Source organism: Homo sapiens, chromosome 12 (genome assembly GCF_000001405.40).
Source record: "Homo sapiens chromosome 12, GRCh38.p14 Primary Assembly".
NCBI classification, from domain to species: Eukaryota; Metazoa; Chordata; class Mammalia; order Primates; family Hominidae; genus Homo; species Homo sapiens.
The window spans coordinates 116,681,677-116,700,608 of record NC_000012.12 but is presented as its reverse complement, the minus strand read 5'-3'; the positions used below and the strand labels follow the sequence as shown (position 1 = coordinate 116,700,608).

The window sequence follows — 18,932 nt, the reverse complement described above, 5'->3', positions numbered from 1 at the left end:
AAAGAAAAAAAAAGATAATATCTGTAAAGTTTTTTGCCCACACTGTGTACAACAGAAATTTGTTTCAGTCTCTCTTCTAAACCAAGAAGCTATGATTTGGTAACCCTCAGACTAGCAAAAATGCTTTCTACTGAGTCCTTTTGCTCTCAGAATCTTCTAGTGGGCAATGTGGCTGAGTGAGCCCAAAAACATAGCGGGATTTGAACTAAGCTAAAATCCCTATTTAGATGTCCTCTGTAAGTTAGATTCCACGCAAGCCTATTTTGTCCTGCACTGCAAGATCCTAATCCAGCACATGGCCATTCATGAGTCAGTGGGACACGCACACTAGCCTGGAACTAATTCCGTGATGGCAGTGGCTGCTATGGCTGTAGGGAGGGTGTCTCCCCATCTCTGTCTGGTTATCCCCACCCCTGCCTTCACCAACTCATTCTTGAAGGCCCCGATTTGCAGAGTGGCCTTATTGCGGGGGTGTCTCTGGGGGTGTACCACCTGCAGGGTTTTTCCTGCACCCTTTGAAAGGAGTTTCTCCTGGATGAATGAGGATTCTTCAAGCTACTTCACATAAACAATGCAGCAGATAAAGGTTTGCCTTCAGATAAGGATGTGCTAAGGAAGATGGGGGAGAAGGTAAGGGGTATCTAGAAATGTCTCCGCCAACCTTGAAGGTAAAAGTCACATTGGTCCTGCCTTCAGACACCCCAGGACCCAGATGAAATTAATTACATCCCCACCCCTGATCCCTGGCCTCTCATTCCCCAGTTGTAGGCATCCAGGTGACCATGAGCTCCATCCATGGAGAACTGAAGGGTCCTCGAACTATCCAGAAGGCAGGACTCAAAAAAGGGGAATGAATTCCCCAAGACGGAATCTCCAAACGGGGTGGTGGCGGCTGGAGAAGGGGAAATGTTTTGGACGAACTGCAGCAGAAGGCTGACCTTGCAATCCTTAGGAAAACGGAGTAAAATGGGAGAAAGATTCTATTGGGTTTTGTTTTGAGACGGAGTCTCACTCTGTTGCCAGGCTGGAGTGCAGTGGTGCGATCTTGGCTCACTGTAACCTCTGCCTCCTAGGTTCAAGTGATTTTCCTGCCTCAGCCTCCCAAGTAGCTGGGATTACAGACATGTGTCACCACGCCTGGCTAACTCTTATATTTTTAGTAGAGACGGGGTTTCACCATGTTGGCCAGGCTGGTCTCGAACTCCTGACCTCAGGTGATCCACCCGCCTCAGCCTCCCAAAGTGCTGGGATTACAGGTGTGAGCCACTGTGCCCGGCCTCTATTGGGTTTTGACATTGTCAAATTATCTTCTATACTGAGAGATTAAATTCAAATTCCCTTTCCTTGAATAACCTTTCTAATGGGCCGGGCATGGTGGCTCATGCCTGTAATCCCTGCACTTCGGGAGGCCGAGATGGGAGGATTGCTTGAGGCCAGGAGTTCATGATAAGCCTGGTTAACATAGAGAGGCCCTATCTCTATCTAAAGAAAAAAAATCCTTTCTACTGACCAGAGACACTTCTTTGGAGACCTTCATTTGGGGCCTAGACACTTAATAACAGTAATGACACCATGGGAAAAGAGCTGTCCAATCAACAACTGGGAATGGGGTAGTTTGGCCTGCAGAGCGGGAAAATCATAGGCAGATGCAACAGACCGCTGAATGCAGAGGTCTGCAAACTGTTTTCATAAAGGGCCAGACAGTAAAAATATTTCCAGCTTTCTAGGCCTTATACTTTCTCTAGCAGTCACTTAACCCTGCTGTTTTAGCTTGAGAGTAGCCAGAAACAATATGTAAACCAATGAGCATGGCTGTATTCCAATAAAACTTTAAAGAAAGGTCAAGGGCTGGATTTAGCCCTTGGGCCATAGTTTGCCAACCCCTGGCTTAGCAGACCAGCCTCAATTGCTCAAACTCCTTTCCCTGTGTTGTTCTTTATTTTAGAGGCTAAGTGCTAGAAAAGCTGGAATCTTCTTCTAAATGCTCCTAAATGCAGGTTGCAGAAAAACCATGAAAGGCCACCTTCAGAGAAGGACATTGACCAAGTAGAAGCAACAGGAATTTGGATTTCTATCCGTACAACAGATGCTCAGAAATGACAATTGTATGCTCTTCCCATTGTCCCTCAATGGAAGGCTGGGTGTTTTAATTAGCTAATGTTGGCAAATTGCTTTGAAGAAAATTGTAAAATGTTTCATCCTACAAGTGCCAAGAGTCTTAATTAGCTTTCCTTAAAGATACCACCTGGAAATGTGATATTGTGTTGCTTGAGGTCCAAGCGTGCAAGAATAACCTGCAGATGAAAAACCGGTTTTTAAGCAAACATCACCGAATAAATGGATCTCTGCATCGACGTCACATTTTCTTCCTCCGGCTGAATCTGATTCCCAGCAGCTGGGGTATTAAACCCCACAAATGGAGGTTGTGGTGGTGGTGGTGGTGGTTTTATTCTGCGAGAGCCTGGTGACAACGGGGGCATGAAACAAATTAACCCATCTATTTGTTGCCGCCGCCGTTGCCTTTAGGATTTTTAGCCTGTGCACTGGAGGCCCGGCTCTGGCGTGTCAAGGTTACAGAGAAGAGGAGGCTGGCAGCCACTCAATCATACAGCAGGGCTGGCTCTCAGATAACCCGGTCGGGGAGAGATGTGTGCATGCTCTGTCGCTCTTAACAGCTGGATAATGAATTTGCACTCCAACACTCTTGTTTCTTGTGGTGGCAGCCACGACAGCAGCAGCATCTGATCTGTGTCACTGTCAGAAGCAAGTGAGATGTAGTTAATATGGACCTTAGCCACTGAGATGCATTGATTTGGAATCTCTGGCCTCTGACAAAGTCCCCGCTAAGTTGGTGGGGCCAGGCCCCGTGTGAGAGGAGGTGGCAGGGTTTAGGGGGAATCAGGGGTCAGGATTCCTCAGTCTTGGCACTAGTGACATTCGGGGCTGGGTGACTGTGGTGGGGGCTGTCCTGGGCACTGCAGGACGTTCAGCAGCATCCCTGACCTCTCCACCCCCTAGATGCCGGTAGGAGCCAGCATCCCCAGCTATGACAACCCCGAATGTCTCCAGACATGGCCTAGTCTCCAGTGTCCTCTGGGGGGCACAATCGCCACTAGTTGAGAGCCACTGGCTTAGGGTTAGAAGCAGGGCTTGGAGTCCCTTTTGTCAAGGACACACCTGGAGCAGGGACCTCATGGAAAGTCAGCTCCAAGGTGGCTCTTGATTTCTGTCTCGCACCCTCAACTAATCCCTCAGCAAATCCCTTCTAGAAGCTACAGCCTGGATGGCGCAGTCTTTTTTTTTTTTTTTTTTTTTTTTTTGAGACAGAGTCTTGCTCTGTCATCCAGGCTGGAATGCAGTGGCATGATCTCGGCTCCCTGCTCCCTCCACCTCCCGGGTTCAAGTGATTCTCCTGCCTCAGCCTCCTGAGCAGCTGGGATTACAGGCACCTGCCACCACGCCCAGCTAATTTTTGTATTTTTAGTAGAGACAGGGTTTCAGAATGTTGGCCAGGCTGGTCTCGATCTCCTGACCTCAAGTGATTCGCCCGCCTTGGCCTCCCAAAGTGCTGGGATTACAGGCGTGAGCCATTGCGCCCGGTCCTGGATGACACATTCTGATCCAGACCACACCTTACCACCCTGGGGCTCCTCTTCCCCTTCCAGCCCCTACATTTCTTGCCTAGGTGACCCAGCATCCTCCCACCTAGTCCCCAGCTCCTCTCGGCTCCTCCTAGGCTGTTCTCCTTGCAGCAGCCAAAGGAACCCTTTGGAAGCTTAAGTGAGAGCATCTCTGGCCCTGCTGGGACCCCCAGGCTCCATCACACTTAGGCTGAAACCCCCAGATCTCTCCCTCGAGGCGTGCATGCTCCCACCTGCAGTGAGGGCGCCTCCTCCAACCCCATCCCCTCTGCCTGAGACCTTCCGTCCACAGACATCCTTCATCTGCTCTGGGTCCTTGCTCAAGTGTCCCTCACCGGAGGCCTTCCCTGACCCCTGCCTTGAACAGCAGTCCTCTGTCTTCCCTAGCCCAGGAGTTATCAGCCTGGGCACCAGTGACATTTAGGTCTGGATAATTCTTTGTTGCGGGGGCTGCCCTGTGTGTTGAAGGGTGTTTAGCAGCCCCCCTGGCCCCTACATTCCAGCACCTCCCTCCCCAGATGATGACAACCAAAAGTATCTCTAGACATTTCGAGATGTTCCCTGGGGGGCAACATCGCCCTGATTGAAAACCACTGCTCTATTCCTCCCGCTTTCGTTTCCCTCACGGCACTCTCTGATATCCTGATATCCTCCCGGTTTGGTTGTTTGCTTGTCTTGCTCCCTGGAATGCAAGCTTTGCAAAAGCAGGGACTTAGGTTTGATTCTTGCTCTATCTCCAGGGCTTGAACTAGAGCTTGGCACATTGTAGGTGCTCAATAAATGTGTTGTGTTGAAGGCATGAACTTCGTACTTTTGAACAACCAGGGGAGGTGATGGGGTCATGGAGTTGGGGCAAGACTGGCCTACAGAATGTGCTTTGCTGGTTATAGATGTCTGCTTTCTGCGAGTTCTTACAAATACAGAGAAAATTTCAGGAAACCTCCAGGAAACCTCATCCAGGAACTGCTCTAAGAAATGCTCTGGGGCTGGACACAGTGGCTTACGCCTGTAATCCCAGCACTTTGAGAAGCCGAGGCGGGTAGATCACTTGAGGTCAGGGGTTCAAGACCAGTCTGGCCAAAATGGGGAAACCCCATTTCTACTAAAAATATAAAATATTAGCCAGGCATGGTGGTGTGTGCCTATAATCCCAGGTACTCGGGAGGCTGAGGCAGGAGAATCACTTGAACCCGGGAGGCGTAGGTTGCAGTGAGCTGAGATCGAGCCACTGCACTCCAGCCTCCAGCCTGGGCAACAGAGAGAGACTCTGTCCCGCCCCCACCACCCCCCCCCCAAAAAAAAAAGAAAGAAAGAAAGAAAGAAAGAAGGAAATGCTTTGGGCACAGGTCTGGGGCAGAGCCCAGCAAGCAGTGTTTTTAACAGGTGCCCGGATGTGTCTGCAGCTCACACTTGGAGAAACACTAGCCTCTGTTAGGAGTTAACTGTCCCTTGGGTGCAAGCATTTGCAAACGGAAGGATAGGGTGGTCAGGAGATTCAGAGAACATTCTAACTTTTGTTTGTGGATGCATTGATGATTTCCTCTGTGGCTAGAGATGGCACCTGGAATCTGGTTATGTAGCAATTTTTCCGCCTTTCCTTTCTTCTCTTCTCTCAGCATGGCTAAGACACCCAAATGGTCAGCTGTGGTTCAGTGCCGAGTCCTACTGACCCAGGCACGTGCATTGGTGTTCCAGGCGAGCTGGGCATGCACAACCGCGTCTTCCTCCTGCCAGCCCTGCTGTTTTAGCTCTTCGGCACTTGCCTGCTATCTCTGCTCTCTGTAGTCAGGGTGCAGTCCCGAAAGGTTTAGTGATTAGGAGAAACTTACTTCCAATTGAGGTTCTTCCAACAGCTCTGTGACGTCGGGCAAATTACTTAACATCTCTCAAACTCAGTTTGCTGATCTATAAAATGGAGATGACACCTTGCCCTCCCTTTTGCCATGAGGATTAAATTAAATGAGCAGAGTCCTCCTCCCGGGCTATCCACTCTGAGCACCGAGGAGTTGCTACCATTATTTCCTCCTTATCAGGGGCCCTCATTTAACCCACTCGGCCCTTGCCAAGGGTCACCTGCCTCCTCCTCCCTCTTCCTCTCCCGTCCTGCTCCCCCACCTCTTCTGTGTCATCCGTCCCCACCAGCGAGCAGCCCCCCTCTCCTGACGATCCTCCCCTCGCCCTCCCCTCGCAGCATGCGGATCTCATCACTGTGATTACACCGTGTTAGCCACAGTGATTGTTCTATGCCTTGGCACCTCATTACTGAAATAAAGTTAACATTAATGGGAGTCCTGCAGCTAATCCCTCCGCTCACCTCTCCTGAAAATGCATTCCGGTGATTAGCAGGAGAGACACATGCATATATTCATTTTAAAACTGTTCCCCTCCTCCCACCCTCCCTTCGCTTCTACCCACAGACACTGGGAGATGGAGGCCAGGGGGTCTTTTAGCTGCCAACGGGCTGAGGACGGAGACGGGGAAACCATCCCGAACAGGGACTCGGCAGGGCCTGGGGAGCAGCCAACTACCCCCCCAGAAAAAGAAACATATCCGTTTCCTTTAGGTGGGGTGCAAGTAAAAACAAAACCAACTAGCAAAACACATAGGCCCTGGAGTGGGACAGATGAGGGTGTTGCGGGGAGGGGGGCAGTGTGGTCCTAGCCCTGCCACTTACTAACTAGGACACTTTGGTGAAATTGTCCTAACCTTGCTGATCTCCAGTTTCCACCTCCGATGAAGGGGGATGCTAACTCACATCTTAAGTTCCAGTGCCCTGGGATGAACGTGTCAGATTCAGATGTGGGAGATCCCAGCCCCACGACTCCAGCACTTGCACGGTTCGCTTCCCTCCCCTGGCCTATGGAACTGGGCGTCAGCTGTGTCCATGGGGTCCCTCTCAGCCCTCCCCACTCCCAGTGCCGGGATGTCCCCTCTCCTCTTCCGTTCCAGAGCGGGCGATGCCATCCCATGCACAATACAATGAAACTAATTGCTTGGTGGTGCATTCTCCTTTATAAGAACTACTAGCCCCCAGGGACTCTGCAAACCTGCCCGCTTGCCGATCTGCAGACAAATAAATGATCCTCCCCCAGGACTCAGGAGACGGGCTCCCGGGTCTGCTCAGGTAACCCGCGGCACTCCTTTGGTGCATTTTTCCCCGTCCTGATTAAAAGTGGGGGCAGGTGACCCCCGTGCGACTCCCACTGGCGGCAGCCAAGAAACGGGAGCCGGAGAACAGCAGAGGGAGGCGTGGGACCCTGTGTAATGAGATTCGCAGACGCCGTTCCTCACCCTCCGTGTCAAGGAGACATTTTCAAAAAGGTTTGACACAGCATCCTCGAAGATCCCTTTGCCAAAACACAAGGTGGAGGCCCCTGGAGTACTTTAAGCCGGCTTCTGTTAACAGAGCAGTCCGTATGCATATTATAATCACGCCGCTCCAATGCCCCGTTAAGCAGCTGTTCCCACAAAGAGGGACAATAGTCCAACCCCACCCCTTTTAGAGCTGATTTCAGTCTTGTCTTTGCTGGTGCCAATTCTTTGATCAGTTTTCACTTAGGATCTGGAGGGCATGTTACAAAGTGCTTTGGGCTGTCTGCCAACAGGCACCTCACTGGCACATGACAACAGCCCAGAAGTGTCAGTGCTGGGAGAGAGACAGAGCTCGCGGGATGCCTTTTAAAAAATAATTATATTTGAATTTTAAAAGCAATCTTCATATATGTAAGTAGCTTCATTTATATGGAAAACTATGCTGGTTCCTCTACCCTTTTAATATTTGATGTCGCATCAGCTTCCTTCACAGTTGGGATAAGCGGTCCGTGGCTTCTTGGGGACTTTTTGGACTCCTGGGTTAAGAAAAAACAATGAGAGGGCTAGAGACTATTATTTCTTTCCCATTTCTCCTCCATTCCCCTTCCTCCTGCACCTCAACTGGATGCTTTGTTGCTAGATCGATTGTAGAAGATCTGGAAGGGCAAGGTGGGGAATTGGGAGTTGAAAAATAACTTTTGTTTGTCGGTGGTGGTAACTATCATTTATTTTATTTTTTGATTGTGGTAAAATACACACAAGATTTGCAATTTTCCTTCCTTCTTTCTCTTTCTTTCGTTCTTTCTTTCATTTTTGACAGGGTTTCACTCTGTCACCCAGGCTAGAGTGCAGTGTTGCAATCTCAGCTCACTGCAGCCTCAACTTCAAGGCTCGAGTGATCCTCACCTCAGCCTCCAGAGTAGCTGGGACTACAGGCATGCAACACCATGCCCAGCTAATTTTTGTATTTTTATATATTCTTTTTTAAGACATGGGTTCCCCCTCTGTTGCCCAGGCTGCTCTCAAACTCCTGAGCTCAAGCAATCCTCATGCCTTGGCCTCCCAAAGTGCTGGGATTACAGGTGTGAGCCACTGCACCTGGCAAGATTTGCCATTTTCAATGCCCAAAAAGATTATGTCAGCTAATGTGTACACCTAAAAGTGGTGTGCAGTTGAGTGACATCGTGTGCATAGACACTGTTGTGCAGCCATCACCACCATCTATCTCCAGAACTTTTGCACCACCCCAAACTGAAATTCTTTGTGTGTGTGTGTGCGTGCGTGTGTGTGTCAGAGTCTCACTCTGTCACCCAGGCTGGAGTGCAGTGGTGCAATCTCGGCTCACTGCAACCTTTGCCTCCTGGGTTCAAGCGATTCTCCTGTCTCAGCCTCCCAAGTAGCTGAGATTACAGGCATGCACACCACACCCAGCTAATTTTTGTTATTTTTAGTAGAGACAGAGTTTCACTATATTGGCCAGGCTGGTCTTGAACTCCTGGCCTCAAGTGATCCACCAGCTTCGGCCTCCCAAAGTGCTGGGATTAAAGGCTTGAGCTACCATGCCCAGCCCCCAAACTGAAATTCTATAGCACCCATTAAACAGTAACCTCATCTCCCACTCCCTCCAGCTCCTGGCAGCCACCATTCTACTTCCTGTCTCTATGATTTTGACCGTACGACAGGCCTCATCTAAATGAGACCCTCATTTTGTGTCTGACTTCTTTCACTTGGTATCATGTCCTCAAAGGACATTCATCCACGTTGCAGCATGTGTCAAAACCTCCTTCCTTTCTAAGGCTGAATAATATTCCATATACATATGGACCACATTTTGCTGATTCATCATCCATCTTTGGACATTCGAGTTGTCTACCATTTATTGAGTCTTACAGGTTGCCAGCCAGCCATGTTAGATGTTTATCTACTTACAGACATCTAATTTAATTCTCACCAGTGTCATTTTATGGTTGAGAAAAAAGAGATGATCCTTGCTTGAAGTAAACTGCTATTGACTGGTAGAGCTGAGATTTGCTTTTAGGGATGTCTGACCCTAAAACTATGGTTCTCCAATGTCAGCGTGTTCCAGAATTGCCTAGAAGATTCTGTTAAAAAGAAAGGCTGTGTCTGACCTATTCTGATTCAGAAGGTATGGAATGGGACCCAGGAATCTGTATTTTTTATTTTTGTGGAGACTGGGTCTTGCTATGTTGCCCAGGCCGGTCTCAGACTCCTGGCCTCAAGTGATCTTCCCACCTCTGCCTCCCAAAATGCTGGGATTATAGGCGTGAGCCACTGCGCCCGGTCGGGATCTGTATAACAAGCTCCCGAATCCAATATAGGTTATCAGAGAAGCAGACCTTGCTAAATATGCTCTAAAGTTTAGGGATTTGACTGCTATGTTATATGACCTCATTCTTAAGGTTGTTGGAGGCAGCTCTTCAAAGAGCATTTCAAGATAAACAAAAATGTTCCAGGTAAAGGAAGAGTTGGGAGAGACTTATACAGGGAATCCATAAAGAGCTCATACACGGGAGAGTGTATGAAGGCCCACAGTTTGGGCTGCATGTGCGACTGAACTTTTTTTTTTTTTTTTTTTGAGATGGAGTCTCACTCTGTCACTCAGGCTGGAGTGCAGTGATGCGATCTCAGCTCACTGCAACCTCTGCCTCCCGGGTTCAAGCGATTCTTCTGCCTCAGCCTCCCGAGTAGCTGGGATTACAGGCATGCGCCACCACACCTAATTTTTTTGTATTTTTAGTAGAGATGGGGTTTCACCATGTTGGCCAGGCTGGTCTCAAACTCCTGACCTCAGGTGATCAGCCTGCCTTGACCTCCCAAAGTGCTGAGATTACAGGTGTGAGCCACTGTGCCCGGCTTCGATTGCACTTCTCAACGGCCCAAGCAAAGACTGAAATAGGATCAGCCACAAAATGTATGCCATTTGTGACATAAAACATACCAGCAGAGGCACAGCTAATCCATGCATTTTGATCTGAGGGCTCCTAATTGAGAAGACCCTGTGCTGTCATGGAAACAGTCACCAGCACTCCTGAGCCAATACCATAGGACTCCCATAGGTCTATTTCTTCAGGGTGAGCCAAAGTTCGATGCCAAAGAACGGTTCAGTAAAGACAGACCTGGGGGAAACAGTGCTGAACTGCTTCAAGCTCACTTTTCTGCAGGGCGTGATACAGTCCTGTGCCTCCCCTGGCTCAGTCTCTCTGCTTTGTCTAGTTTGTCTCCCTTGCAGATCCCCCTACCCCCAAGAGAGGAACACAGTGGGGGGCTTTGGCTTTAATGACTACGATGCTTGTGTTTAAAGTTTGCAAAGCCCCCAGTCTCCAACCACTGGCCAGTATGGCCCTTCTTCCTTCGGTATGCAAGAAAAGCCGCTGTCTGGTTGAGTGAGCTCTGCTATAAATCAAAGTGTCACCACTTAGCCAGTAGAAGTGATTTAATTAATCCGTTGTGCTGTCCCCTGAGCATCACTCCACCTGACTGCTAATCAACTTCCATCAGCAGGAGGAAAATACAGGCCCCCTTTTTCTGAACTGCATTGCATAAGATGAAGGAGGAGAGGGAGGGGGAGAAAAAGTTAATTGCAGTGAGGGAGCTCAAACTGTCACAAGAAGAAAGTCTCTTGTCTGGCATCTGCAGGCTGCCTCTTTATACACGGTCGTCCTCGTCTCGGGTGAACTGCAGGAGAGGACCACTTTTTAGTAATATTAATATAGACATTATCTATTGTCCATATCTATTTATCAGAAATAATGTCTTGCCTGGAAACCCATGACAGCTGGCATATTGCAAAAAAGGAACTGTTCTTTTATCATGCACCCGGTATTTAGACCTTAAAAAACCACACGCAACCTTCACTGATAATCAGATAGGACTTAGAGTTTATATATCTATCTCTCGGGCACAGGAACATTTTTTGACAGATGGCCACCCCAATTTCTGTCATATTCAGGCAAAACCAACGCATGCCATTTCCCTGCAATGTAATTAGGCAGGTCTGGTTAACGCTAGAGTGCTTTGAAGGTGAAATTAGCTAGTGGTGATGAGGACTCCTAGTCTAGGGTACTTGAAAGCTTAAGAGCCTTAAGTTTCCTTGAATCTTTTCACAAATGGTAGATAGCCTGGCTCCATTTTACAGATAGGAGAAACTGAGGCAAACAAAGACAAGGGAAAATTTTCCAGGAAGTTGCAGAGCTGGAACAGGTGTTCTGAAACTGGGATTCATTCTTTGTTGTGGGGAAGCAGGACTGCACAAGATTCTGGTTTTGTTTGTCTTAGAGACGGGGTCTGGCTTCGTTGCTCAGGCTGGAGTACGGTGGCATGATCTTAACTCACTGCAGCCTCGAACTCCTGGCCTCGAGTGATCCTCCTGACTCAGACTCCCAAAGTGCTGGGACTACAGATGCATGTCACTGTGCCTGGCTAATTTTTTAAATTCTTTGTAGAGATAGGGTCTCACCATGTTGCCCAGGCATGTCTTGAACTCCTGACCTGAAGCAATCCTCCTGCCTTGACTTCCCAAAGTGCTGGAGTTACAGGCCTGAGCCACTGTGCCCGGCCCCAAGATTCTGTTTTAAAGCAGGGGCTTATTCAGAATTGTATTCTTTTCTGATTACTGAGCACTTATACTGAAAAGTAAACTTGTAGAAAGGCTCTTTAGTAGTATGAAGACCGGAAAATCTTTTATCTGACCCAAAATATGACATCATGCATCGATTATACACAAACTTTGTTTTTTATTTCCCCACCAGGGGATACCCACCCACCCCACCCCACCACCGCCTGCTTCTGTGGGTGAGCCACACCTCTTTAAAGATGTGGGAGCAGCCAGACACCGTGGCTGACGCCTGTAATCCCAGCACTTAGTGAGGCCGAGAAAGAAAGATCACCTGACGTCGGGGGTTCGAGACCAGCCTGACCAACATGGAGAAACCTCATCTCTACTAAAAATATAAATTTAGCCAGGCGTGGTGGTGCATGCCTGTAATCCCAGGTACTCAGGAGGTTGAGGCAGGAGAATTGCTTGCACCCAGGAGGCAGAGGTTTCGGTGAGCCAAGATAATGCCATTGCACTCCAGCCTGTGCAACAAGAGACTCTGTCTCAAATAAAAAAAAAAAAAAAAAAAGATGTGGGAGCAGCGCAGAAACACTCTTTCAGCACACATGTACTTGGGATCAGAGAGCCTCTGCCCTACTGCAGGTGACGGCCATTCCTTTGAGAGGAAAGAGCTCTGGATCCTCATTCTGCGAACGTCCACACCCGCCGCATGCCAAGCACTGCCTCATTTTGTGCCTTATGACCGCTGGGCCACCCCTAGAATCCTGGTTGAGTACAGAGTGAATGACATAGTCCTCCATTGTGATGAGGTCGAAATCTGATCAAAATGGACATTTAGGGCAGCCTTCGAGAGAAAGAGGTGTCCGGAGAGAGGAGATAGCCCCTAAAGCTGCTGCATGGGTCTGAGCTGAGGAGGTGTGTGTGGTCCGCCCAACACCAGGGGGCACTGCCACTTCCTCCCCTGCTTTTGCACGTGCTTTCCCTAGGAGCAGAGGCCACGCGGATGCAGCTGGCTTCCCCTGCACTGAGTCTCCTGGGCACCAGAGGGAGGGCGCTCCTTCCCTGCAGAAGGGAAATCCTGCCCCTGTCTCTTGCCGCTCCAGGGAGTAGCCTAAAAGGGCTAAGATTGGAGCCACTTAGAGCGGGGTGGAATTCTAACTGTGCTACAGGCCACGTTTCTCTGTGTGTGGCCCTCCCTGGCCTCAGTTCCCTTATCTGCAAAATAGGAATGCCCATCTCCCAGAATGGACATCAGGATGAAATGAGATGATATCAATGCTCCCAGCACAGTGCTAGGCATGTAGGATGTAGGAGCTGCTAATTAAATACAGTTTCCTTCTTGCCATTCTCTTTTTGTTTTTGAGACAAGGTCTTGTTCTGTCACCCAGGCTGGAGTGCAGTGGCACGATCACAGCTCACTGCAGCCTGGACCTCCCGGGCTCACGCCATCCTCCCACCTCACCCTTCCAAGGAGATGGGACCACAGGAGCGCGCCACCACGCCCTGCTAGTTTTTGTATTTTTTTTGTAGAGATGAGGGTCTCCACCATGTTGCTCAGGCTAGCCTCAAACTCCTGAGCTCAAATGATCCTCCTGCTTTAGCCTCCCAAAGTGCTGGGATTACAGGCGTGAGCCACCATGCCCAGCCTTTCTTACCCTTTCCTTCCTTTGCTCTCTTATTCTTTCATTTCTTTCCACAGCTCCATAACCTATACTATAAAATGCTCAATTCGACAGTGGGGACCCAGATCCCAGAGTCATGCAAAGATCCAAAGGCTACCATGCCTCCCTCCCTCCGTCTGAGCCCAGGGTGCTGGGACCCCCTCCATCCCCACCCACCCAGCTGGCTGTTCCAGACATCATGGAACAGTTGTCTCCACATGCACCTCCCATTTCAAGGGTTTCCACCATGGCTGTAAAACCTACTCCAGGCTGACGCTGGGCCTTCCGGGTCCAGCCAGGGAGACGTTTGTCTGTCTCTAGCCACAATCTAGAAACATGTTTTGATGTTTTCCCAGTCGCAGACAGGAAGAGAACAAGGTTGATATTTCTCTGTGTTGGTGCTATAGTACAACTGTAACTGGAAAGTAAAATGGTACGCCTTGCCTCTCCATTTTGTCATAACCATTCCATTTGAAAGAGAAGGCAACGTTATTGTGCCCAGGGGTTACATTGTATGTAAACACGTATGCATTAAATGGGAGTCTTGTATGTGAGAAATGGCAAAGTATTATGGAAACCAACAGCAAAGGTCTGTGTAACTTTCTTTTAGACAAAAGACCAGCCACTTGGAGTTGGCAGCAGCCCTTTTCTGCTTCCTTGGATTGGAAGCATATTTTGTTTTTCTCAGTGAATCTCCTTCTCATGATGAAAATGATAAAGTTGGTGCCCAGAGGTTCACTGAGGATAGTTAAGCAAATGTATTTGTTCAAAAAACATTTGTTGGCCGGGCATGGTGGCTCACACCTGTAATCCCAGCACTTTGGAAGGCCGAGGCAGGTGAATCACTTGAGGCCAGGAGTTTAAGACCAGCCTGGCTAACATGATGAAACCCTGGCTCTACTAAAAATATAAAAATTAGCTGGGCGTGGTGGCACATGCCTGTAGTTCCAGCTACTTGGGAGGCTGAGGTGGGAGGATCTCTTGAACTTGGGAGGTGGAGGTTGCAGTAAGCTGAGATTGTGCAACTGCATTCCAGCCTGGGCAACAGAGTGAGAATCTGTCTCAAAAAAAAAAGAAAAAGAAAAAGAAAAAATCCAAAAAACATTTGTTGAGCATCTACTCTGCCTGGATCTGTACTACGTGATAAATAAGACATAGCCCTTGCAGACTTTCCAGTCTAGAGGAAGCAGGTTGACATTTAACATAACTAGAGTCAACGTGATGATTGTCACCATGAACAAATGAATTAATACTATGGGAATACAAAAGGGAGGGGTGTCAGGGAAGGTTTCATGAGAAGTTTTCTGATAGAAGAGGAAGAAGGAGGTTAGTACAGGGTAGAAGGAACAGGTTTTTTGAAGACCAGAAGAGGTAAAAATAAGAAACGCAGAGCCATCCAGTAGCATCATTTGATTATTATATGAAATATATGCTAAGCAATATGTTTCCTTCCTTCCTTCCTACCTTTCTTCCTTCTCTCCCTCCCCCCCTCCCTCCCTCTCTCTCTCCTTCCTCCCTTCCTTAAATTGAGACAGAGTGTCACTCTGTTCCTCAGGCTGGAGTGCAGTGGCATGATCTCAGCTCATTGCAACCTCCGCCTCCCAGGTTCAAGCGATTCTCCTGCCTCAGCCTCCTGAGTAGCTGGGAGTATAGGCGTGCGCCACCACGCCTGGCTAATTTTTGTGTTTTTTCAGTAGAGACAGGGTTTCAACATGTTGGCCAGGCTGATCTTAAACTCCTGGCCTCAGGTGATCCGCCCGCCTCGGCCTCCCAAAGTGCTGGGATTATAGGCATGAGCCACCACACCTGGCCAATTTTTAATTTTATCTATTTTTGAACAGTTAGTACGTGCATATGGTTTAACACTCAAAAGGGTTTAACAGTGAAAAATCTCTCTTCCCTGCTGACCCTGGCCACTGATTTCTCCTCCAGTGACACCATTTTCTTGTGTTTATGCAAAGGGAGTTATACATATGCAAACGAATACTTGCAGGTATTATTTCTCTTTTTCCTGTAAGTACAAGAGCTATATAGCATGCTGTATACACCTGTCTCTCATGTTCCTTTGCTTTGTGAAACAAACGTTTAAACTCCAATATTTAGATAGTTCCTACTAGATGTCTTAGTCCATTCTCTGTTGCTTATAAAAGAATACCTGAAACTGGGTAATTTATAAAGAAAACACATTTATTTCTTACCCTTCCAGAGGCTGAGAAGTCCAAGGTCAAGGGGCTGCAACAGGTGAGGGCCGTTTTCTAGAGGGGATGCTCTATAGAGTCCACAGGTGGTGGAGGGCTTCACCTAGTGAGGGTGCTGACTGTGCCAGCTCAGGTCTCTCTTCCTCTTTTTACAAGGCCACCAGCCCCAATCCCATGACAACCCATTAATCCACTAACCCATGAATGGATTAATCCATTTTGATTGGGTCAGAGTCCTCATGACCCAATCACGTCTTAAAGGCCTCAACTCCCAGTACTGCCACATTAAGGGATTTAATTTCAACGTGAGTTTTGGAGGGGACAGATATTCAAACTATAGCACTAGGTATCAGAAGCTTTTAAAACTGCTTCCCATGCATCATCCCACTGAATCCTATGATACCAGGCACTATGGTTTCCCACTTCATGGGGAAGGAAACTGAGGCACACAGAGACCTTGAGTGACTTTCCCAAGTTTATTCAGTTGGTAAATTAGCCCTGACCTCGTGCTGGAACTGAAATAAGGCAAAGGAAGGGATGCTCAGTCCAGCAGAGCTTGCTGGGGTTCACCAAGTGCAAACACTTCCATTATTCTCTTTATTCTAGAAACTTCTTAAAATAGCTCCTAGAGGTAGGGATGATGATGGGGAAAGCATGGCTCAGATGTGCTGAAGGTCCCAAAGCCACCCGTATCAAGTCAGTGGCAGGGTTGGGAAGAAGAGTTCATTGCACACAATGAAACAATTACCAAGCAACTACCATGTTTCTGGGTCTGCAAAAAGCACTGGGAAGACGGAGAGAAATACAATGTACCTCTCTTCTTAGATGGACTAATCAGGACTAGTCTGTTTTTTTTGCATATCAGTATTTCTTGGAGATCTTTCCATATCAGTACATATAGCCTTCTTCATTCTTTTTTTTCTTTTTGACAGAGTCTCATTCTGTTGCCAGGCTGGAGTGCAGTGGTGTGATCACGGCTCACTGCAACCTCCACCTCCCGGGTTCAAGCAATTCTCCTGCCTCAGCCTCCCAAGTAGCTGGGACTACAGGAGTGCACCACCACGCCCAGCTAATTTTTGTATTTTTAGTAGAGACGGGGGTTCACCATGTTGGCCAGGATGATCTCGATCTCCTGACCTCGTGATCCACACACCTCGGCCTCCCAAAGTGCTGGGACTGCAGGCGTGAGCCACCATACCTGGCCCTTCATTCTTTTACATGGCAGAAATTTCATGTTAGTTACTTCATCATTTGCTTACCGATGGATATTCAGGCTGTGTGTGCCCTCCTACAAATAGAGCTGCTGTCAAAACATCCTTGTATGTACGTCTTGGAGTGCTTGAGCAAACGTTTATCTGTAGAACGAACTCCTAGAAGTGGACTGGCTGGTCATGGGGTACACATACTTTGAATTTTGGTAGATATTGCTAAATTGCATTCCAAACAACAGCACCAATTTACACTCCCCCAAGAATGCATGAAAAGTGTTCATCCCCAATTTTCCCCTCCCCGGGCCTCATCAACCTGTTTCATCTTTGCCAACCTGACTGCTGAAAAATTAGCTCAATTAAATTCCCATGCATTATGAGCACATTATTTCATGGGTTTATTGGCCATTTATATTTCTTTTATGAACTGCTTTTTTGTGTCCTTTGTACATTTCATGTTTCGGCTTTGTCTTATTCACAGAGATATATAAGAGCTCTTTGGACACTAAAGAAATGCATTACAAAGATTTTTCCCATTTACAGTTTGTCTTTGTAATTTTTTTCACCATATAGAGGACTTTCATTTTTATGTAGTTGGAAATATTAATTTTTTCTTTATGGGTTTTGGGTTCATGTTTGCCTTTGCCTCTCCACGATTATATATATTTTTAATGACCCATTTTTTTTTCTTCTCAGCCTTTTTATGGCTTTCATTTTTAAATTGAACTCTAAGCATTTGAAATTTATTTTGGTGAAAGGAGTGGTATAGGGGCCTGGCTTAATTTTTTGGCTTTGAGGGGAGCCTCTTTAGATTCCCTTGTACCTGGCTTCACCTGACTCGGGGGTGGGGGGCGGGGAATCTCGAAGGGAGAGCCAGTGTCACAGCAAGCTGGGGCCTCCACCTGCAGAAGCTACCAGAACCCAGACAGCAAACCCTTCTGGGCTGGTTCTACTGGAGACATGGTGCACAACAGGGCCAGTCCTTTCTAAGCCAAGCACAGAGACCCTCTAAGGAGAGATTGGTACATTGTATTTCCCTCTATCTTCCCAGTGCTTCTTGCAGAACCAGAATCATAGTTACTTGGTAATTGTTGCATTGTATGCAATGAAATCATTCTTCCCAACCCTGCCACTGACTTGATACAGGTGGCTTTGGGACCTTCACACATCTAAGCCACGCTTTCTCCATCATCATACCTACCTGTGGGGACTGTTTTAAGAAGTTTCTAGAATACAGAGAATAATGGATGTGTTGGCACTTGGTGAACCCCAGCGAGCTCTGCAGTTGGAAAGTTTGAACAACTGGCTGTCCCTTTGCTCCTATGAACACGTCTCAGTTGTGTGCGGCCATTAACGTTTTAGTGGCTTTAAAGCAGAACAAACTTTTGAAATATCTTCTGGTCAGTAAAGTAATTAAGTTGTAAGAATTACAATTTATCTCCTTGTGGGACACAGAGGGTTTTTTTTTTCTTTTTAAATTTTTAATGAGAAAAGACAGCTTCTAAACATTTTTTTTTTCTGAATGAGTTCTTATAAAAAGTAATATTGTTCATCACTATCTCCAAATCCCGCCCGCCTCGGCCTCCCAACATCCTGGGATTACAGGCGTGAGCCACTGCGCCCGGCCAAAATATTCCTTTTCTTTACAACAAATATACCTTCTCCATTTGTCTGGAGGCTTGCTCAACTAGATGTTCTCACATTTGGTGGAGGCCTAGCTGCAAAATATGCTTCTCCACCATTAGTAAAACGATGTGAATGGTGAATGACAGCTGAGCCTGGCTTCAGAACCAGGGAGAGAGTGATTGCTCCACCTCAGAGGGCAACTACTCATGGAACTAGAGCTCCTACACTTGCAAGAGAAAGAAGAAATCAAGATTTTTGTTTATAATTTTTTAAATGTTGGATAAAATAATTTTAAAATATATTGGCCCAACACAGCATGCCTGTGGGGGTGAATTGGGCCCCAGAGCCCCTAGTTTGCAGTCTCTGCGTGTGGACCATCTTATAAAAGGTCATACAGACCGGGGGCGGTGGCTCACACCTGTAATTCCAACACTTTGGGGAGCCAAGGCAGGAGGATCACCTGAAATCAGGAGTTGGAGACCAGTCTAGCCAACATGGTGAAACCCCATCTCTACTAAAAATACAAACATTAGCTGGGTGTGGTGGCGTGCACCTGTAGTCCCAGCTACTCGGGAGGCTGAGGCAGGAGAATCGCTTGAACCAGGGAGGCGGAGGCTGCAGTGAGCTGAGATGGCGCCACTGCACTCCAGCCTGGGTGCAGAGTGAGACTCCGTCTCAACAATAAATAAATAAATAAATAAATAAATAAA

At 47.7% G+C, this 18,932-nt stretch overlaps 1 long non-coding RNA gene across 1 annotated transcript in view; it reads right to left on the bottom strand.

The window, feature by feature from the left end:
* Window positions 1–2,429: 2,429 nt before the first annotated feature.
* LINC03088 (long intergenic non-protein coding RNA 3088) overlaps window positions 2,430–18,932 on the bottom strand; it is a 36,636-nt gene continuing 20,133 nt past the window's right edge. Inside the window, exon 2 of the long non-coding RNA XR_007063473.1 lies at window positions 2,430–2,754. This is a non-coding gene — a long non-coding RNA (long intergenic non-protein coding RNA 3088). The remainder of the gene's footprint in view (window positions 2,755–18,932) is intronic.